This window comes from Homo sapiens, chromosome 7 (genome assembly GCF_000001405.40).
Source record: "Homo sapiens chromosome 7, GRCh38.p14 Primary Assembly".
NCBI lineage: Eukaryota > Metazoa > Chordata > Mammalia > Primates > Hominidae > Homo > Homo sapiens.
In genome coordinates this window covers 101,183,638-101,204,932 of record NC_000007.14, presented here as the reverse complement: position 1 = coordinate 101,204,932, position 21,295 = coordinate 101,183,638, and the positions used below count along the sequence as shown (strand labels likewise).

General features: G+C 52.2%; 1 protein-coding gene and 2 pseudogenes across 5 annotated transcripts, besides 3 other annotated features; all 3 read left to right on the top strand.

Annotated features, from left to right (window-relative positions):
* RPSAP46 (ribosomal protein SA pseudogene 46) lies at positions 362 to 1,333 on the top strand (annotated as a pseudogene).
* Positions 1,131 to 1,937: an enhancer, noted in NCBI's record as "H3K4me1 hESC enhancer chr7:100846277-100847083 (GRCh37/hg19 assembly coordinates)". NCBI's record gives its function as "activates a minimal SCP1, AML or CMV promoter by ChIP-STARR-seq in naive H9 embryonic stem cells {active_cell/tissue: H9 hESC(naive)}" and the evidence as "EXISTENCE:reporter gene assay evidence [ECO:0000049][PMID:30033119]".
* On the top strand, positions 1,658 to 3,120 carry DGAT2L7P (diacylglycerol O-acyltransferase 2 like 7, pseudogene; annotated as a pseudogene).
* Positions 1,938 to 2,745: an enhancer, noted in NCBI's record as "H3K27ac-H3K4me1 hESC enhancer chr7:100845469-100846276 (GRCh37/hg19 assembly coordinates)". NCBI's record gives its function as "activates a minimal SCP1, AML or CMV promoter by ChIP-STARR-seq in primed H9 embryonic stem cells {active_cell/tissue: H9 hESC(primed)}" and the evidence as "EXISTENCE:reporter gene assay evidence [ECO:0000049][PMID:30033119]".
* Positions 3,897 to 12,047, top strand: MOGAT3 (monoacylglycerol O-acyltransferase 3). Of its 5 annotated transcripts, none has more exons than XR_001744700.2 (7): positions 3,897 to 4,187; positions 4,418 to 4,525; positions 4,629 to 4,699; positions 6,103 to 6,307; positions 6,568 to 6,742; positions 8,833 to 9,071; positions 12,026 to 12,047. XR_001744700.2 is itself a non-coding variant. In NM_178176.4 (7 exons), the coding sequence occupies exons 1-7, from the start codon at positions 4,079 to 4,081 to the stop codon at positions 8,985 to 8,987; spliced, it is 1,026 nt and encodes a 341-aa protein (NP_835470.1). In that variant the 5' UTR covers positions 3,897 to 4,078; the 3' UTR covers positions 8,988 to 9,926. The 5 variants fall into 5 exon arrangements, 3 of the variants coding, with proteins under 3 accessions (NP_835470.1, NP_001274076.1, XP_005250366.1); XR_001744701.2 differs by having other exon boundaries at positions 12,029 to 12,046; NM_178176.4 differs by lacking the exon at positions 12,026 to 12,047 and adding an exon at positions 8,544 to 8,746 and having other exon boundaries at positions 8,833 to 9,926.
* Positions 8,762 to 9,262: an enhancer, noted in NCBI's record as "H3K4me1 hESC enhancer chr7:100838952-100839452 (GRCh37/hg19 assembly coordinates)". NCBI's record gives its function as "activates a minimal SCP1, AML or CMV promoter by ChIP-STARR-seq in naive H9 embryonic stem cells {active_cell/tissue: H9 hESC(naive)}" and the evidence as "EXISTENCE:reporter gene assay evidence [ECO:0000049][PMID:30033119]".
* Positions 12,048 to 21,295: the final 9,248 nt, after the last annotated feature.

The window sequence follows — 21,295 nt, the reverse complement described above, 5'->3', positions numbered from 1 at the left end:
CTCCAGCCTGGGCAGCAAGAATGAAACTCCAACTCAAAAAAATAAATAAGCCGGGCTCAGTGGCTCACGCCTGTAATCCTAGCACTTTGGGAGGCCGAGGCAGGCAGGCAGATCACTTGAGGTCAGGAGTTTGAGACCAGCCTGGCCAACATGGTGAAACCCTGTCTCTACTAAAAATACAAAAATTAGCCAGGTGTGGTGGCACAGGCCTGTAATCCCAGCTACTCAGGAGGCTGAGGCAGGAGAATTGCTTGAACCTAGGAGACGGAGGCTGCAGTGAGCCAAGATCGTGCCACGGTACTCCAGCCTGGGTGACAGAGCAAGACTTCGTCTCAAAACAAAAAAACAAAACAAAAAAAGCTTTCCACGCTACCCACAGAGGGCTCCATCCGGCGTTGTTCTGGATTCCTGTTGTAACTTAAAGAGAAACTTTCACAACATCCGGAGCCCTTGATGTCCTGCAAATGAAGGAGGAAGATGTCCTTAATTTCCTTGCAGCAGGAAACCAATTAGGTGGCACCAACCTTGACTTACAGATGGAACAGTACATGTATAAAAGGAAAAGTGATGGCATCTACATCCCAAATCTGAAGAGGACCTGGGAGAAGCTTCTGCTGGCAGCTCGTGGCATTGTTGCCATTGAAAACCCCGCTGATGTCAGTGTCATACCCTCCAGAAATACTGGCCAGAGGGCCGTGCTGAAGTTTGCTGCTGCCACTGGAGCCACTCCAATCGCTGGCCGCTTCACTCCTGGAACCTTCACTAACCAGATCCAGGCAGCCTTCCGGGAGCCACGGCTTCTTGTGTTTACTGACCCCAGGGCTGATCAGCAGCCTCTCACAGAGGCATCTTATGTTAACCTACCTACCTTGCTCTGTGTCTCACAGATTCTCCTCTGCGCCATGTGGACATTGCCATCCCAAGCAACAACAAGGGAGCTCACTCAGTGGGTCTGATGTGGTGGATGCTGGCTCGGGAAGTTCTGCGCATGCGTGGCACCATTTCCTGTGAACACCCGTGGGAGGTCATGCCTGATCTCTACTTCTACAGAGATCATGAAGACATTGAAAAAGAAGAGCAGGCTGCTGCTGAAAAGGCTGTGACAAGGAGGAATTTCAGGGTGAATGGACTGCTCCGGCTCCTGAGTTCACTGCTACTCAACCTGAGGTTGCAGACTGGTCTGAAGGCGTGCAGGTGCCCTCTGTGCTATCTAGCAGTTCCCTACTGAAGACTGGAGCATTCAGCCTGCCACAGAAGACTGGTCTGCAGCTCCCACCACTCAGGCCACTGGATGGGTAGGAGCAACAACTGAATGGTCTTAAACACCTGTACTGTGAGCTCCCCCTGCCCCATCTTCCAGCCCAGGTGCACCTGGCAGCCTGGCTCTTGCATTCCTCGGCTGGGCTTGGATGCTGGCGGTCCTCTACCTGGTCTGGCTCTATTGGGATAGAAACATACCCAGGGCTGGAGCCCGCAGATCTGCCTGGGTTTGCAACTGGGCAGTTTGAGACATTTCTGTGACTACTTCCCCCTCTCAGTGAGGACCTGGGCTGTGGGGTGCTGGGTGCGGTTGGGGCTTCAGAATAGACTCTTGGGACCACCATCTCCCAAAGTGCAATCTCACCGTTGGGGTGGGGTGCGCCCGTCTGCTCCCCAGCTAGTTAAAACTGCAAAGTTGGGCACCTCCTGGAACTACCTCTTTGACTTCCACCCTCACAGGGTCCTGGTCGTGGGAGCCTTCGCCAACTTCTGCACAGAGCCCACGGGCTGCTCCTGCCTCTTCCCCAAACTCCCGCCACACCTGCTCATGCTGCCTTGTTGGTTCCATCTCCTCTTCTTCCAGGACTACATCATGTCAGGTGGTGAGAAGAGGAGGACCTTGCTGCTGTCTCCCGCCCCACCATCCTCTTCCCAGGGGACACTGGGGCCCAGCTCTCCTTTCCCCATGTCCTCTCCACTCTTCTTTCCAAGTCCCAGGCTTTGGCTGGGTGCGGTGGTTCACACCTGTAATCCCAGCACTTGGGAGGCGCAGGCGAGAGGATCGCTTAAGGCCAGGAGTTCAAGACCAGCCTGGGCAACACAGTGAAACCCCATCTCTACACAAGAAAAAACAAAAACAAAAATTTAGCCAGGTGTGGTGGTACACACCTGTGGTCCCAGCTACTGGGAGGCTTGAGGTGGGAGGGTCACTTGAGCCCTGAAGGTCAAGGATGCAGTGAACCAAGATCAGGCCACTGTACTCCAGCCTGGGCAACAGAGCAAGACTCCGTCCCTAAATAAATAAGTAAATAAGACCCAGGCGTTGGGTCCCCCAGCTTCTGCCCTCCCCCCAGGTTTGGTCTCCTTTGTCAAGGCCCCGCTGCCTCAGTGGTGGCCAGGTGGCTGTCCTGGCGTGGGAGGGCCCCTGCAGGCGCTGGAGGCAAAACCCGGACAACTGAGCTTGCCGATTCGGAATCAGAAGAGATTGGTTAAGTCAGCTCTGGAACTCGGGTGAGGACCCGAGCGTGACCCGGTGGGGACGCCCCAGGGCTGCCGGGCCGGGGAGGAGGAGAGTGGCGCCACCCGCGGACCCCGGGGCCAGGAGTCAGCCGCGCCATGCTCTCCTGCGGCCTCCCTAGTGCCTGTCTTCTCCAGGGAGAATGAGCTCTTCCAGCAGTTCCCGAACCCGCAGAGCTCGTGGGTGCAGAGGACGCAGGAGGCTCTGCGTCCGCTGCTAAGCGTGGCCCTGCAGCTGTTCCTGGGCCGCCGGGGCCTCCCGCTGCCCTTCCGCGCGCCCATCCGCACCGTAGGTGAGCCCCGGCCTCCGCCCCGCGATCCTGGCCCAGGGCCCGCTCCCTCCCCGTCCCGGGTTGGGGCCACCCAGACTGGCCTTTGGCCACCGCGCCAGCCCTGAACTCTGTTCCCGCCTATCCCCAAGGAGGAAAAGAGGAGGAGAACCGGGGATCCCAGCCCAGATCGCCTCCCGTCCCGCCCGCAGTGGGGTCGGCGATTCCCGTGCAGCAGAGCCCCCCGCCCAGTCCGGCCCAGGTGGACACGCTGCAAGCGCGCTACGTGGGGCGACTCACGCAGCTCTTCGAGGAGCACCAGGCGCGCTATGGTGTCCCCGCCGACAGACACCTGGTCCTCACGGAGGCGCGCCCCACCGCCTGGCCTCGCCTGTCCGCTGGGTGACTGCAGGTGGGGAAGTGAAATTAAAGACTGGCGGCAGGGCACGGTGGCTCACGCCTGTGATTCCAGCACTTTGGGAGGCCGAGGCGGGTGGATCACTTGAGGTCAGGAGTTCGAGACCAGCCTGGCCATCATGGTGAAACCCCATCTCTATTAAAAATCCAAAAAAAAAAAAAAAAAAAATTAGCCAGACGTGGTGGCGCGCCTGTAATCCTAGCTACTCGGGAGGCTGAGGCAGGAGAATCGTTTGAACCCGGGAGGCGGAGGTTGCAGTGAGCCGAGATCGTGCCACTGCTCTCCAGCCTGGGTGACCGAGACGTGTGAAAAAAAAAGAAAAAAAAGAAAAGAAAAGAAAAAGAAAAAAATTAAAGTGGGAAACAGACCTGCAGCCTGTGTGTGTTTGTGCATGGCGGGGGAGGTCCAGGCAGGGGTGGTGACCTTGACATTCCTGGAGATGCCCCGGACCAGGCCCTGCCCCCACCCCGACTGGAGGTCAAATAGTCTCAGCAGGGCTTCTGGCCCCTTCCAGCACCTGGGACCCAGTGGGTGGGGCTAGCCAGATCACTCTTGTCCACTCCAACATCAATTCCTGAGGCACTCGGGTGTCACCTCTCCCTTGCACACCCCTTACGCCTCCCAGCCCCACCCAGCAGCCAGCCCAGACTGGTGACTGACAGGAAGTTCAAAGATCAGGCTGAGAAAAAACCCAGAGACATCTGGGGCTCTGGATCCAAAGATCTCCCCACTCACACACCTACGGACACACGCTACTCTGGGAGGTGATTTGCGACTTAGCCAGGCCCCCAAAGCTGGGCTCCTGTAGGGAGAAAGTCTGCCCAGGTCCACATCCAAGCCTTCATCGTTTGTCCTCCGGGTTCTGGGATCCTGCTGGAAGAGGGGAGCTTCTGCAATGGGAGTTGCCACAACCCTGCAGCCCCCAACCACTTCCAAAACCTTGCAGAAGCAGCATCTAGAAGCAGTGGGCGCCTACCAATATGTGCTCACTTTCCTCTTCATGGGTGAGAGCTGGGGAGGCGTGGGTGCCTGGGGTCTGCCAGGGGAGTAGGGCTTGGAGGGAGAGTGGCTGGGCTGCTGGCTTGCATGCCTGAGGACAGTGACCAGGTGACTGGTCTGGGAGAGGGCCAGAGGAGAGAGCTGGTTGTTCTGAAGGGGAGGAAGGGAAGGGAGCAGCTGGAGGGAATGATGGAGTTTCAGAAGTGAACTCTTTTCTTTCTCTCCCTTCCCCCAGGCCCTTTCTTCTCCCTTCTTGTCTTTGTCCTCCTCTTCACGTCACTCTGGCCCTTCTCTGTTTTTTACTTGGTGTGGCTCTATGTGGACTGGGACACACCCAACCAAGGTGAGCTCCGGATGGGGGCCCAGGTAGCCAGAGATGGTGGGGACATGGGGGGTGAGGGGAGGTGACTCCGGGGGTTCGTCCACCAGTATCTCATTGTCCGCAGGTGGAAGGCGTTCGGAGTGGATAAGGAACCGGGCAATTTGGAGACAACTAAGGGATTATTATCCTGTCAAGGTGATGGGTCACCCTGCAGAAAAACTGCTTCCTACCTCTCCCCATCTCCCTCCCACACCTAGGAGCCCTTCCTTGTGCTGGGGCCTGAGCTCCCCGCTGCCTAAGCTCAGGCAGTGGGACAGGGAATGGATTTTTTTTTTTTTTTAGACTGAGTCTCCTGTCACCGAGGCTGGAGTGCAGTGGTGCAATCTCAGCTCATTGCAACCTCCGCCTCCTAGGTTCAAGCTATTCTCATGCCTCAGCCTCCCTAGTAGCTGGGATTATAGGTGCCCGCCACCATGCCTGGCTAATTTTTGTAGTTTAGTAGAGACAGGGTTTCAACATGTTGGCCAGGCTGGTCTCAAACTCCTGGCCTCAAGTGATCCAGCCACCTCGGCCTCCCAAAGTGCTGGGATTACAGCCTTGAGCCACCGCGCCCGGCCTGGGAGTGGATGATGTTCAAGAGCGGGGCCTTGGTGGGGCACCATGGCTCATGCCTGTAATCCAAGCACTTTGGGAGGCCGAGGTGGGAGGATTGCTTGAGCCCAGGAGTTGGAGGCTGTAGTGAGCCATGATTGCGCCACTGTACTCCAGCCTGAGCAACAGAGTGAGACCGTCTCTAAAAAAAAAAAAAAAAAAAGGCGGTTGTGGTGGCTCAAGCCTTTAATCCCAGCACTTTGGGAGGCTGAGGTGGGTGGATCACCTAAGGTCAGGAGTTCGAGACCAGCCTGACCAACATGGAGAAACCCCATCTCTACTAAAAATACCAAACAAATTAGCCGGACATGGTGGCACATGCCTGTAATCCCAGCTACTCTGGAGGCTGAGGCAGGAGAATTGCTTGAACCAGGGAGGCGGAGGTTGTGGTGAGCTGAGATGATGCCATTGCACTCCAGCCTAGGCAACAGGAGCAAAACTCTGCCTCAAAAAAAGAAAAGAAAAAAAGAGAGAGTGGGTGAGGTGGCTTACGCCTGTAATCCCAGCACTGTGGGAGGCCAAGGCAGGCAGATCACGAGGTCAGGAGTTCAAGACCAACCTGGCCAATATGGTGAAACTGCGTCTCTACTAAAAATACAAAAATTAGCTGGGCATAGTTTCGCATGCCTGTAATCCCAGCTACTCGGGAGGCTGAGGCAGGAGGATAGCTTGAACCGGGACCAAGAGGCGGAGGTTGCAGTGAGCCGAGATCGTGCCACTGCACTTCAGCCTGGGCTACAGAGCAAGACTCCATCTCAAAAAAAAAAAAAAAAAAAACCTGGGCCCTTAACCCTATCCTAAGAACCTTTAACTCGGAACTCTGCTGGGGTGGCCCTTGACCCTATCCTAAGAACCTTTAACTCGGAACTCTGTTGGGGTGGAGGGCCCCTCTTTTCAGCCGGTGTCTTGCCTTCCATCCTCCCTTCATCCTGCTCAACACCCCGAAGCTGGTGAAAACAGCAGAGCTGCCCCCGGATCGGAACTACGTGCTGGGCGCCCACCCTCATGGGATCATGTGTACAGGCTTCCTCTGTAATTTCTCCACCGAGAGCAATGGCTTCTCCCAGCTCTTCCCGGGGCTCCGGCCCTGGTTAGCCGTGCTGGCTGGCCTCTTCTACCTCCCGGTCTATCGCGACTACATCATGTCCTTTGGTGAGCCGAATGGGAGGAGGAGAACGGGAGGAGACTCCTGACCAGATGTTCCCCAGCCCCTCTGGGACCACCCCCCCCCATAATAAGTCCCCCACCCAGGACAGGGGCCAGCCTGAGCACTGCCCAGACTTGCAGTGAGCATTTGGGTAGGTTCCCCGCCTTGGAGATGGGGGTAGGGGGCTTGGAACTAAAGGCTGGGTGAGGGGCGGGGGTGCCGTGGAGGCAGATGGGAACTACTTTCCACCTCCTCCTGCCCACAGGACTCTGTCCGGTGAGCCGCCAGAGCCTGGACTTCATCCTGTCCCAGCCCCAGCTCGGGCAGGCCGTGGTCATCATGGTGGGGGGTGCGCACGAGGCCCTGTATTCAGTCCCCGGGGAGCACTGCCTTACGCTCCAGAAGCGCAAAGGCTTCGTGCGCCTGGCGCTGAGGCACGGGTGAGTGCGCGTGCAGGCCCTACCTGTCAGTTCTCTGCTGGTTTATGCCCTCTCTCAGTCCCCAGACATCTAGGTCCCTGCATGGGGGATCCGGGTGCCCAGAGACCAGCGCCCTGCCCTGCACCGAGGCCCACGTGGGCTCTCCAGGGCATGACTCGGTACCAAACATGGGGCCCGCTTACCCTAAGCTCCCTCCCACATCCGTGGAGACAGGACCATAATGCAAATAGCAGGGCCCTCGGTCTCAGAAGCCCTGGCTTCCCTCTCTGACCCCAACTCAAAGGCAAGACCTTGCACTTGTTTCTTTTTTTGTTATTGTTGTTGAGACAGAGTCTCGCTCTGTCGCCCAGGCTGGAGTGCAAAGGCGTGGTCTCGGCTCACTGCAACCTCCGCCTCCCGAGTAGTTGGGACTACAGGCGCCCACCACCACTCCGGGCTAATTTTTGTATTTTTAGTAGAGACGGGGTTTCACCATTTTGGCCAGGCTGGTCTCGAATTCCTGGCCTCAAGTGATCCGCCCACCTTGGCCTTCCAAAGTGCTGGGATTATAGGCGTGAGCCACCGTGCCCGGCCGGACTTGTTTCTTTACTTGCGAAGAGGGCTGATACCTACCTTGCCACGATGTTGTTATTGCAAAGACCGAATGAGAAAATGACTATGAGAAGGCCCACTACACAACTGTGTCTCAAGAAATGTGAGTCCCGGCTGGGCGTGGTGGTTCACACTTGCAATCCCAGTGCTTTGGGAGGCCAAGGCAGGAAGATCACTTGAAGCCAGGAGTTCAAGACCAGCCTGGGCAACATAGGGAGACATCATCTCTACAAAAATAAAATAAAATAAATTAGCCAAGTGTGGTAGTGCACGCCCGAAGTTTCAGCTATTCGGGAGGCTGAGGTGGGAGGATGGCTTGAGCGGAGAAGGTTGAGGCTGCAGTGAGCTATGATTGCACCACTGCCCTCCAGCCTGGGCAAGAGAGCAAGGCCTTGTCTCTTTTAAAATTTTTTAAATTATTTATTTTTTAAAATTTTCTAATTTTTAATTTTTGGAGATGGAGTCTTGCTCTGTCACCCAGGCTGGAGTGCAGTGGTGTGATCTCGGCTCGCTGCAACCTCCACCTCCCGAGTTCAAGCCTCTGAAGTACCTGGGACTACAGGTGCACGTCACCACGTCTGGCTAATTTTTGTATTTTTAGTAGAGATGGGGTTTCACCATATTGGTCAGGGTGGTCTCGAACTCCTGACCTCAGGTGATCCACCCACCTCAGCCTTCCAAGGTATTGGGATTACAGGCATGAGCCACCGCACCCAGCCTATTTATTTTTTGAGACAAAGTCTCACTCTGTCACCCAGACTGAAGTGCAGTGGTGTGATCTTAGCTCACTGCAACCTCTGCCTCCCAGGTTCAAGCGATTCTTGTGCCTCAGCCTCTGTAGTAGCTGGAATTACAGGTACCCACTTCCACACCTGGCTAATTTTTATGTTTTTGCAGAGACGGGGGTTTCACCATGTTGGCCAGGCTGGTCTCCAACTCCTGACCTCAAATGATCCTCCCACCGTGGCCTCCCAAAATGCTGGGATTACAGGTGTGGTTACAAGACCCTCTCTCTAAAACAAAGAAAAAGAAAGAGAAAGAAATGCGAGTCCTGTCTTCTAGATCTTTCTTTGTAGCCATAGTCATGTGCTTTGAATGACCCTGGGAGGTAGCATCTGGACGTAGTGGGAAGGACTTGTAGCCCCTGGGGGTGCCCATCTCGGAGCAGTCCAGCAGCCTGAGCCCCCTCTTCTCTCTTGCTCCTTCCCAGGGCGTCCCTGGTGCCCGTGTACTCCTTTGGGGAGAATGACATCTTTAGACTTAAGGCTTTTGCCACAGGCTCCTGGCAGCATTGGTGCCAGCTCACCTTCAAGAAGCTCATGGGCTTCTCTCCTTGCATCTTCTGGGGTCGCGGTCTCTTCTCAGCCACCTCCTGGGGCCTGCTGCCCTTTGCTGTGCCCATCACCACTGTGGGTGAGTGCCCACCTCCGGGGGGACGGCCACCAGCAGCTGCGTGGGCATCAGGGATCCCTCGCCCACCTGTCTCCCTCTCCCTGCAGTGGGCCGCCCCATCCCCGTCCCCCAGCGCCTCCACCCCACCGAGGAGGAAGTCAATCACTATCACGCCCTCTACATGACGGCCCTGGAGCAGCTCTTCGAGGAGCACAAGGAAAGCTGTGGGGTCCCCGCTTCCACCTGCCTCACCTTCATCTAGGCCTGGCCGCGGCCTTTCGCTGAGCCCCTGAGCCCAAGGCACTGAGACCTCCACCCACTGTGGACTCCATGCCTCCAATAAAAGGTAGTTCTGGGCCCAGCGCAGTGCCTCATGCCTGTAATCCCAGCACTTTGGGAGGCCAAGGTGGGAGGATCGTTTGAGCCCAGGAGTTGAAGACCAGCCTGGGCAACACAGTGAGACTTCATTTCTACAAAAATTAAAAAATAATGTTGTTAATTAGCCGGGCATGGTGGCATGTGCCTGTAATCCCAGCTATTTGGGAGGCTGAGGCAGGAGACTTGCTTAAACCCAGGAGGCGGAGGTTGCAGTGAGCTGAGATCACACCACAGTACTCCAGCCTGGGCAACACAGCGAGACTCAATCTCAAAAAAAAAAAAAAAAAAAAAAAAAAGACTGTTAAAGCTGTAGTAGGCTGGGCGTGGTGGCTCATGCCCATAATCCCAACACTTTGGGAAGCCGAGGCAGGTGGATCAACTGAGGTCAGGAGTTCAAGACCAGCCTGGCCAAAATGGCAAAACCCCCTCTCTACTAAAACTACAAAAATTAGCCGGGCATGGTGGCTCATGCCTATAATCCCAGCTACTCCGGAGGCTGAGGCAGGAGAATCGCTTGAACCCAGGAGGCAGAGGTTGCAGTGAGCCGAGATCACACCACTGCACTCCAGTCTGGGCAACAGAGCGAGATTCCATCTCAAAAAAAAAAAAATGTTGTTAAAGCTATAATCGTTCTGGAAGTGAACATGGCCAGGCATGACCTGCCCCCATCCTGATGTGCTACAAAGCTGCTGCCTTAGATTGGGTATCAGGACCCTGAACTGTCCTCCCAGTGAGAGTTCAGTCTGTGGCATGACCTTGGACAAGCCTCTTCCTTTTGCCTGTTTACTTCTTTGTCTGTAAATAAAGGCATCTGCTTAGCAAAGAGCTGTTGGGCATTGGGATGGAGTTAGGAGGGAGGATGCGTGGAGAGGCAGGCTTTGAAGAGTGAGCAGGATTTAGATGGAGGTGAAGTTAGGGTAGATGGCGGAATTCCAAGAGCTAAAGGTAAGAGCAGTCAAGGGCACTTAACAGGACGGGGAAATGGTACCATCCCCAGTGAAGGAAAAATAGAGTTAAGAACACAGCTGAGGCTGGGCGCGGTGGCTCACGCCTGTAATCCCAGCACTTTGGGAGGCTGAGGCGGGCGGATCACGAGGTCAGGAGATCGAGACCATCCTGGCTAACAAGGTGAAACCCCGTCTCTACTAAAAATACAAAAACTTAACCAGGCATGGTGGCGGGCGCCTGTAGTCCCAGCTACTGAGAGGTTGAGGCAGGAGAATGGCGTGAACCCGTGAGGCGGAGCTTGCAGTGAACCGAGATTGTGCCACTGCACTCCAACATGGGAGACAGAGCCAGACTCCGTCTCAAAAAAAAAAAAAAAAAAAAAAGCTTATGTCCTATGGCCGGCTGCTGTGGCTCACACCTATAATCCCAGCACTTTGGGAGGCTGAGGCAGGTGGATCACGAGGTCAAGAGATCAAGACCATCATGGCCAACATGGTGAAACCCCGTCTCTACTAAAAATACAAAAATTAGCTGGGCGTGGTGGTGCTCTCCTGTAGACCCAGCTACTCAGGAGGCTGAGGCAGGAGAATTGCTTGAACACGGGAGGCGGAGGTTGTGTTGAGCCAAGATCGCACCATTGCACTCCAGCCTGGGCAACAAGAGTGAAACTCCGGCTAAAAAGAAAAAAAAATGAAAAAAATGAAAAAAAAAATTCTAGAAATTAGCCAGGTGTGGTGGCTTATGATTGTCATCCCAGCTACTTGGGAGGTAGAGGTGGGAGACTCTCTTAAGCCTAGGAGGTCAAGGGTGCAGTGAGCCGAGATCGTGCCACGGCACTCCAGCCTGGGTAACGAAGCGAGACCCGTCTCAAACAGACAAACAAAAAGAGCCCTGGGGTGGTCACAGCATCCTCTGACTTTGGTCAATCCTATTTGCTGGCTGGCTTTGTGTATCCAGGACTTCATCAAGAATAACTCATTGAAATGTAATTGGAATGCCCTATATTTGCTTCTACCGTCCTATAAAATTTATTTGTGGGAAGAATTTTCCCTTTATTGCATGAAAATATGGGCAGTCCCATGACTTCCCTGGGTCATTCTCAGATAATAAGTTCTACATTCATTTTAAGTTGGAGCATAGAAATGTTTCGTTCAGGCCAGGCATGGTGGCTCATGCCTGTAAGCCCAGCACTTTAGGAGGCCGAGGCAGGAGGATCACCTAAGACCAGGAGTTCAAGACCAGCCTGGCCAACATAGTGAACCCCGTCTCTACCAAAAATACAAAAATTAGCTGGGCGTAGTGGCAGGTGTCTGTAATCCCAACTACTCCAGAGATTGAGGCAGGAGAATCGCTTGAACCCGGAGGCGGAGGTTGCAGTGAGCCGAGATTGCACCGCTGCACTCCAGCCTGGGCGACAGAGTAAGACTGTGTCAAAAAATAAAAACAAATAAAAATAAAAATAAATCAGCTCTGGGTTTGAGCAACCTCGGCCTGGATACCCTTGGAGTTCAGGCAGGCCTCGACGTGGCCACTTGTCCTTCCCCCTTTCCTGCCGTGGGAGCATCCAACCAGTCACAATCCGGCCAATAGATTTCTCCAGTGGGCACATTTTCCAGACACTGGGGATGGGCGGGGTATGGTAGTATGCATCTGTCATCCCAGAGTTTGAGAAGCCAAGGTGGGAGGATCGCTTGAGGCCAGGAGTTACAGGCTGAGCCAAGATTGCACCACAGCACCAGCCTGGGCAACAGAGCAAAACCCGTCTTTTATTTTATTTTATTTTATTTATTTATTTATGTTTTTTGAGATGGAGTCTCGCTCTGTCGCCCAGGCTGGAGTGCAGTGGCGCGATCTCCGCTGACTGCAAGCTCCGCCTCCCGGGTTCACGCCATTCTCCTGGCTCAGCCTCCCGAGTAGCTGGGACTACAGGCGTCTGCCACCACTCCTGGCTAATTTTTTGTATTTTTTTTTTAGTAGAGATGGGGTTTCACCGTGTTTGCCAGGATGGTCTCGATCTCCTGACCTCGTGATCCGCTCGCCTCGGCCTCCCAAAGTGCTGGGGTTACAGGCGTGAGCCACCAAGCCCGGCCCAAAATCCGTCTTTTGAAAAAGAGGAAGAAGGAACAGCATTCGCAGCTTTATGAGCTCAGCCTGCCGCTTTTCTTTCGGCGCCATTCTCTCCTGCCATCCTCCATGTGGCCACCAGAGGGCGGTCTCTACACAGAAGGCAAATCTGTCCCTCTCTTGCTTGAAGTCCTCGGGGGCTAGCCAGCCTCTGCCTACAGGCTGGGTCCAAGGTGCAGCCCCACCCAGGGCAGACGACCCAGAACTGCTTGTTCTTGCAAACCAGGCTGTGTTTCAGCCCTGGGCTTTACTCAGGCTGTCCCTTCCCACCTGAGGGACCCAGCACCTCTTATCTGGAAGGGGAGTTTCAAGACTCAGTTTAGGTTCCATTTCCAAGACACCTTCCCCAACCTGCCAACCTGCCAGGCTGGTCCAGGGCCCTCCTCGCCATCCCCATAGCTCTGCTTAAAGATCTATCACGACCTTCTCCAGCCTGGCCAACATGGTGAAAACCCATCTTTACTAAAAATACAAAAATTAGCTGGGCATGGTGACAGGTGCCCCTGATCCCAGCTACTTGGGAGGCTGGGGTCCGAGAACCACTTGAACCCGGGAGGCGAAGGTTGCAGTGAGCAGAGATTGCGCCACTGCACTCCAGCCTGGATGACAGAGTGAGACTCCATCTCAAAAAAAAAAAAAATCTGTCACGACCTTCTGTGTTTTTTTGTTTGTTTTGTTATTTTGTTTTTTTGACACAGGATCTAGCTTTGTCACCCAGGCTGGAGCGCAGTGGTTCTACCATGTTGCCCAGGCTGGTCTTGAACTCCTGGGCTGGAGTGATCATCCCACCTCGGCCTCCCAAAGCGCTGGGATTACAAGAGTGAGCTACCGTGCCCAGCCAACAAGAGTGAAGAGGCTGACCAACATGGCAAAACCCTGTCTCTACTAAAAATACAGAATTAGCCGGGCGTGGTGGTGCATGCCTGTAATCCGAGCTACTCAGGAGGCCGAGGCAGGAGAATCGCTTGAACCCGAGAGGCAGAAGTTGCAGTGAGCCGAGATTGTGCCATTGCACTCCAGCCTGGACAACAAGAGCGAAACTCCGTCTCAAAAATATATATATATAGCTCTCAAAGTTTTGGAATCTGGGACGTCCGAGATCAAAGCACCAGCCGAAATGTCGTCTGGAGAGGGTTCACTTCATCACGTGTGTCATCTTCTTGCCCTAACCTCACACGGAGAAGAGAGGAGGGTCTCTCTCAGGTCTCTTTTTTAATGGCACTGTGCTATTATCTATATATCCATTTATAGATCCTATATATAGGTCCGAGGTTCTTGGCTCATAACTCCCAAAGCCCTTGTTATTTCCTAAGTAACTAAAACAATCGGCCCTTCTCTTGTTAGAGTAGTTGGCCTATGTCCTCAATTCCCGAAGCAACTTCGGAACAGCTTCAGAGCGATAAAAGTGAAAGACAGTCTTTTGTTAGAACGTGGGGGCACTTTTGGCCTCAGAAGCAGGCTTCAGAAAACACAATCTGTCTGTCTCTGACCTCCTCCTGGCCTCCTCTCTCCTGCTCCTTTTTCTCACCTAGGCAGGCCATAGAAACTAAAAATATACGGAATCTTCTTCCCTCGCCGTTCTGTCTGAAGCTGGTTATTAAGAGATGCTCTGACCTACCTTGTCTGCTTGTGGGTCATGAGACCCTCATTTCAGAAAGGGTCCTGCCCCATCCCCTGGAGGAAGGAACACTACACAGAGAGAGGCCGAGGAGAATCTGAACAGACAGGCCTGGCTGGGCTTCCCCACTCGGTGTGTTAGTATTAGGTGGTACCCTTTTTGTCCAATCACATTTTTTTTTTTTTTTGAGACAGAGTTTTGCTCTTGTTGCCTAGGCTGGAGTGCAATGGCACGATCTCGGCTCACCACAACCTCTGCCTCCCAGGTTCAAGCAATTCTCCTGCCTCAGCCTCCTGAGTAGCTGGGATTACAGGCATGCACCACCACACCTGGCTAATTTTGTATTTTTAGTAGAGACAGGGTTTCTCCATGTTGGTCAGGCTGGTCTCGAACTCCCGACCTCTAGTGATCCGCCCACCTTGGCCTCCCAAAGTGCTGGGATTACAGGCGTGAGCCACCACGCCCCAGCTTCCAATCACACTTCTACACTGGTGTCAATCATGCCTATCCAAGGAAGCCCCTGTAAAAGACCTGAGGACTGGGTTTGGAGAGCTTCTGGATAGGTGAGAATGTGGAGGTTCTTGGAGGGTGGTGCACTCTGGGAGGACATGGAGTTCCAAACCCCACTCCCCATGCCTCACCCTAGGCATGTCTTCATCTGTATAGTTTTGTTTTCTTTTTTCTGAGACAGGGTCTCACTCTGTCACCCGGGCTGAAATGCAGCCTCCACCTCCCAGGTTCAAGCAATCCTCCTGCCTCAGCCTCCCAAGTAGCTGGGATTACAGGCATGTGCCACCATGCCTGGTTAATTTTTGTATTTTTAATAGAGATGGGGTTTGGCCATGTTGGCCAGGCTGGTCTTGAACTCCTGGCCTCAAGTGATCTTCCTGCCTTGGTCTCCCAAAGGGCTGGGATTACAGGCATGAGCCCAGCCCTGTTTTTGTTTGTTTGTTTTTGTTTTTGAGACAGGCTGTCACTCTGTCTCTCAGGCTGGAGTGCAGTGGCACCATCACAGCTCACTGCAACCTCCGCCTCCCCGGCCTAAGTGATCCTCCTGCTTCAACCTGTCAAGTAGACTGGACTATAGGCGTGCACCACCATGCCTGGCTAATTTTTTGTATTATTTTTTGTACAGACAGGGTTTCACCATGTTGCACAAGCTGGTCTCGAACTCCTGAGCTCAAGTAATCCTTCCTCCTTGGCCTCCCAAAGTGCTAGGATTACAGACTTGAGCCACTGCCTCTGGCCGATCCGTATCCTTTGTTTTTGTTTGTTTGTTTGTTCATTTTATTTATTTATTTTTAGAGATGGAGTCTTGCTATGTTGCCCAGGCTGGTCTCAAACTCCTAGCCTCAAGCAGTCCTCCCACCTCAGCCTCCCAAAGTGCTGAGATTACAGGCATGAGTCACCACACCTGGCCCATCTGTAACCTTTGTAATATCCTTTATAATAAACAGGTGAATATAAGTGAGTGATTCTCTGAGTTCTGTGAGTCGTGCTAGCAAATTAATTGAACCCAACAGGGGGTCATGGGACCCCCAGTATATAGCCGGTCAGTCAGACGTGCAGGTAGAATAACCTGAGGCTTGTGAGTGGCATTGGTAGTGGGGGACAGTCTTGTGGGACTGAGCCTCCACGTGGGATCTATCACTACCTCCAGGTAGTGTCCAGATTGAACTGGGTTGAAAGACACCGGCTGCAGAATTGATTGCTTACTTGGTGTGTGGGGAAAAAACCCCCACACATTTGGCCACAAGATTCTTTTTTTTTCTTTCCCTTCCTTCCTTTTTCCTTCCTTCCCTTCTTCCCCTCCCCTTCCTCTCTTTCTCTCTTTTCTTTTTTCCTTTCTTTCTGTCTTTTCACTGAATCTCGCTCTGTTACCCAGGTTGGAGTGCAATGGTGGGATCTCGGCTCACTGCAACCTCCTCCTGCCGAGTCCAAGCAATTCTCCTGTCTCAATTTCCCGAGTACCTGGGATTATAGGTGTATGCCACCACGCCCGGCTAATTTTTTTTTTTTTTTGAGATGGAGTCTCACTCTGTTGCCCAGGCTGGAGTGCAATGGCCCAAACTTGGCTCACCGCAACCTCCGCCTCCCGGGTGCAAGCGATTCTCCGGCCTCAGCCTTCCGAGTAGCTGAGACTACAGGCGCACACCACCACACCCAGCTAATTTTTGTATTTTTAGTAGAGATGGGGTTTCACCATGTTGGCCAGGATAATCTTGAACTCCTGATCTCGTGATCCACCCGCCTTGGCCTCCCAAAATGCTGGGATTACAGGCGTAAGCCACCGCGCCCAGCCGGGCTAATTTTTGTAATTTCAGTAGAGATGGGTTTTCACCATGTTGGCCAGGCTGGTCTCGAACTCCTGATCTCAAGCAATCTGCCTGCCTCAGCCTCCCAAAGTGCTGGGATTACAGGTGTGAGCCACCGTGCCCAGCCTTAATTTTCTTTTAATCTGTAGATTTCCTCTCCGTCTCTCTCTGTCTCTTCTTCCAACTTATTTGTGGAAGAAATGAGATTGTTCTGTAAATTTTCACTGCAACCTCCGCCTCCCAGGTTCAAGCTATTCTCCTGCCTCAGCCTCCCAAGTAGCTGGGATTACAGGTGTGCCCCACCACGCCTAGCTAATTTTTGTATTTTTAGTAGAGATGGAGTTTCACCATGTTGGCCAGGCTAGTCTCGAGTGATCCACCCGCCTCAGCCTCCCAAAGTGCTGGGATTACAGACATGAGCCACCACACCTGGCTAAAACTATATATATTTATCATATACAAAGTGATACTTTGAAATATGTATTCTCTCTGGTTTTGTGTATGTTAAATATTCTCCAGATAAAAAAGTGTTGGGCTTTTTTTTTTTTTTTTTTTTTTTTTTTTAGATAGGATCTCGCTCTGTCACCCAGGCTGCAGTGTGCAGTGGCACGATCAGGGCTCACTGCAGCCTTGACTTGTTGGGCTCAAGCAATCCTCCCACATCATCCTCCTGAGTAGCTGGGACTGCAGGTGTGCACCACCACACCTGGCTACTTTTAAAATTTTTTTGTAGAGACAAAGTCTTGCTATGTTGCCCAGGCTGGTCTAGCCTAGGCCAGGCATGGTGGCTCACACCTGTAATCCCAGCACTTTGGGAGGCTGAGGCAGGTGGATCACCTGAGGTCAGGAGTTCGAGACCAGCCTGATCAACATGGAGAAACCCTGTCTCTACTAAAAATTCAAAATTAGCTGGGCATGGTGGCACATGCCTGTAGTCCCAGCTACTCAGGAGGCTGAGGGAGGAGAATTGCTTGAACCCGGGAGGCGGAGGTTGTGGTGGGCCAAGATAGCGCCATTTGCACTCCAGCCTGGGCAACAAGAGTGAAACTCCATCTCAAAAATAAAATAAAATAAAATAAACAAATAAATAAATAAAACAGTGGTTTTTTTTTTTTTTTTTTTAGACCGAGTCTCGCTCTGTCGCCCAGGCTGGAGTCCCATGGTGCAATTTCGGCTCACTGCAAGCTCCACCTCCCGGGTTCACGCCATTCTCCTGCCTCAGCCTCCTGAGTAGCTGGGACTACAGGCACCTGCCACCACGCCCAGCTAATTTTTTGTATTTTTAGTAGAGACGGGGTTTCACCGTGTTAGCCAGGATGGTCTCGATCTCCTGACCTCATGATCCGCCCGCCTCGGCCTCCCAAAGTGCTGGGATTACAGGCGTGAGCCACGGCGCCCGGCTCAAAACAGTGTATTTTTAACAGCCAGCTAAAGTGAGCTACTTGTAAGAAGAAGTGGAATTAACCAGGCCCTGAGAAGATGACAATAATGCTTGCTGAATAAATGAACAGACCTTGTAGCCAGTATTGGTTTATGTGCATGGGAAAGAGGAAGCTGACAATTGGAGGAGCACAGATGTGAAACTTCATGTACATCTAAGCACGCTAGTCACACTTCTAACCTTCAGAAGTATAGTGTGAGGCTGGGCTATGGATTGGTTTGGGATTAGGATACTAGGAATCAGGGTGCACAGTGGCTCATGCCTGTAATACCAGCATTTTGGGAGGCCCAGATAGGCGGATCACTTGAGATCAGGTGATGATCAACATGATGAAACCCTGTCTCTACTAAATGTGATGAAACATGTGAGATCAACATGATGAAACCCCATCTCTACTTAAAAAAAAAAAAAAAAAAAAAAAAAAAGCTGGGTGTGGTTGTGGGTGCCTGTAATCCCAGCTACTTGGGAAGCTAAGGCAGGAGAATTACTTGTACCCGGGAGGCAGAGGTTGCCATGAACTGAGATCCCACCACCATGGCACTCCAGCCTGGGGGACAGAGGGACAGAGGGAGACTCTGTCTCAAAAAAAAAAAAAAAAAAAACAGACCGGGAAGCCAACGCGGGCAGATCACTTGAGAGCCCGGCCAACATGGTGAAACCCCATCTCTACTAAAAATACAAAAAAATTAGCTGAGTGTGATCTCAGCTACTCGGAAAGCTGAGGCAGGAGGATGGCCTGAACCCGGGGGGCAAAGGTTGCAGTGAGCCAAGATGGCACCACTGCACTCCAGCCCAGCCCAGGCAACAGAGTGAGATTCCGTCTCAGAACAAAAACAAAAACAAAACAAACAAACAAACAGAAAACAGGGATACCAGGAGTCAGGTTTTATCTTTACCTCAGGTCAACTGGGTGACCTGAGATAAGTGATCCGTCTGTCTCACTGTCCCCAACTGCAGACATAGGCTGGAGGCATTCGTGCATTCAGAAATACGAATTGAGCACCTACTATGTGCCAAGAACCGAACTAAGTACCTAAGTACCAGTGGCATAAAAATAACTGTGACATCATCCCTGTTCTAAAAGAGGTTTATATTAAGCCTGGCGTGGTGGCTCACACCTGTAATCCCAGTACTTTGGGAGGTCAAGGTGGATGGATGACCTGAGGTCAGGAGTTTGAGACCAGACTGACCAACATGGTGAAACCCCTTCTCTACTAAAAAATACAAAATTAGCCAGGTGTGGTGGTGTATGCCTATAATTTCAGCTACTTGGGAGGGTGAGGCAGGAGAATCTCTTGAACTTAGGAGGCAGAGGTTGTAATGAGTCAAGATCGTGCCTGGGCAACAAGAGCGAAACTCTGTTCAATAAATAAATAAATAAGTAAATAGTTTATAGCCAGGTGCGGTGGCTCACACCTGAAATCCCAGCACTTTGGGAGGCCGAGGCAGGAGGATCACTTGACCCCAGGAGTTCAAGACCAGTCTGGGCAACATGGTGAGACTCTGTGTCTACAAAAACTTTTTTAAAAATTAGCAGGGCTTGGTGGTGCGCATCGGTGCTGCCAACTACTTGGGAGGCTGAGACAGGAGGATCACTTGAGCCCAGGAGTTTGAGGTTGCAGTGAGCTGTGTTTGTGCCACTGCATTCCAGCCTGGGCAAAAGAGCAAGACCCTGTCTCCAAAAATCAAATAAAACAGTTCATGGTCACACGTAGTGATTTTCCCTCTTTCTCTTGCCTGATTCCTGAAGTTCCTGTGGGTGTTCCTCGAGCCCTGACAGTCCTGACTGCAGAATAAACAAGAGGCTTCTGTTATGCCTGAATTCCAAAGTACAGGCTGTGATACACCCCATGTGAGAATTGCTGCTCCAGTTGGCTGGATAATAATACCTACCATCAATTGAAATGTTGTGCCAGGAATGCTCTGCCAGGCACTTTACACACATTACTTTATTTCATCCTTACTGGAAGTTGGGTGCTACATCCTCTTTGAGGCTGAGAAAGCCGTGACTTCATGACTCACCAGGAGAGTGTGGCATCTCTGATATCTGCCTTGTGGGATGATCTAGATGATTCCTTTTAGTCTATCATTCTGAGCAAGCCTTTTAGGAGCTCACTGGCTCTGTGACTTGGAGCCAATTACTTAACCCTTTCATCTCTGGTCTCCTTCCTCTGTCTGCAAGAGGAGCTGATTGTGAATGTTGTAAAGCATGCAAGGTATTGGCCAGAGGTGGTGGCTCACGCCTGTAATCCCAGCACTTTGGGAGGCCAAGGTGGGCGGATCACTTGAAGCCAGGAGTTTGAGACCAGCCTGGGCAACGTAGCAAGATGGTGTGTCTATGAAAAATTTAAAAAATAAAATAAAAAGAGAAAAAGCTTATGAGGGATCCAGGTCATTTCCTGTAAATCATTCACATCTTTTATTTCACTGCTCTCATCACAACACAGATGTTCCACAGATAGTTGGAGACAGCCTGGAAGGTCGAGACTTGATTCATAGATTGGGGAATTGTCCAGATAGGTCACCGAATGGGGTGTGATAAGGGGGATGGCAGAAGACTTCGCAATGATTTCACAGTGGGACAGGGAGAAGAGGGGTCTAAGAGGGAAACACTCAAAAGCAAAAATCCAGAGGAGGAAGTCTTGGTCACCAGAATCCTGAGATGCCCAGGCTTTCAGCTTGGCGAGTATGAAGATTCAAGGTGGCTTATTATGGCCTGGCGAGGTGGCTCATGTCTGTAATCCCAGCACTTTGGGAGGCCAAGGCAGGAGGATGGCTTGAGACCAGGAGTTCAAGCCCAGCCTGGGCAACATAGCAAGACTCTGCCTCTACAAAAAATACAATAATTAGCTGGGTGTGGTGACATGTGCCTGTAGTCTCAGTTACTCAGGGGGCTGAGGTGGGAGATCTCTTGAGCCCAGGAGTTTGAGGTTGCAGTGAGCTATGATTTGTGCCACTGCACTCCAGTCTAGGCGAAAGAGCAAGATCCTGTCTCTTAAAAAAAAAAAAGTTTTTTTTGAGACCGAGTCTCTCTCTGTTGCCCAGGCGGGAGTGCAGTGGCACTATCTCGGCTCACTGCAACCTCCACATCCTGGGTTCAAGTGATTATCTTGCCTCAGCCTCCAGAGTAGCTGGGATTACAGGCACGTGCCACCATGCCCGGCTAATTTTTGTATTTTTAGTAGAGAAGGGGTTTTGCTATGTTGGCCAGGCTGGTCTTGATCTCCTGACCTCAAGTGATCCACCCGCCTCGGCCTCTCAAAATGCTGGGATTACAGGCGTAAGCCACGGCGCCTGGCCTATCTCCATTATTAATGGCACTAATACTGATTGGCGCTTTATTCTTTCTCTCTCTCTCTCTATATATATACACACACATATATACATATATATATGTGTGTATATATGTATGTATGTGTATATATACACACACATAGATACACATATATATACATATATACGTGTGTGTCTGTGTGTGTGTGTGTGTGTGTGTAGAGAGAGACAAGGTCTCGCTCTGTCACCCAGGCTGGAGCACAGTGGCACCATCAGAACTCATTGCAACTTCAAACTCCTGGGCTCTAGCGATCCTCCTACCTCAGCCTCCTGAGTAGCTGGGACCGCAGGTGCACACCACTGTGCCCGGCTAATTCTTTTATTTTTGGTAGAGACAAGGTCTCACTATGTTGCCCAGACTGGTCTCAAACTCCTGGCCTCAAGAGATCCTCCTGCCTCGGCCTCCCAAAGTG

Bases quoted from the DNA above. Each gene is read 5' to 3' on its own strand.
- MOGAT3 (XM_005250309.4), top strand. From the start codon at position 4,079: ATGGGAGTTGCCACAACCCTGCAGCCCCCAACCACTTCCAAAACCTTG. The intron at 4,526-4,628 runs GTGAGCTCCGGA...CATTGTCCGCAG, and splicing joins CTGGGACACACCCAACCAAG to GTGGAAGGCGTTCGGAGTGG. The intron at 6,743-8,543 runs GTGAGTGCGCGT...GCTCCTTCCCAG, and splicing joins CGCCTGGCGCTGAGGCACGG to GGCGTCCCTGGTGCCCGTGT.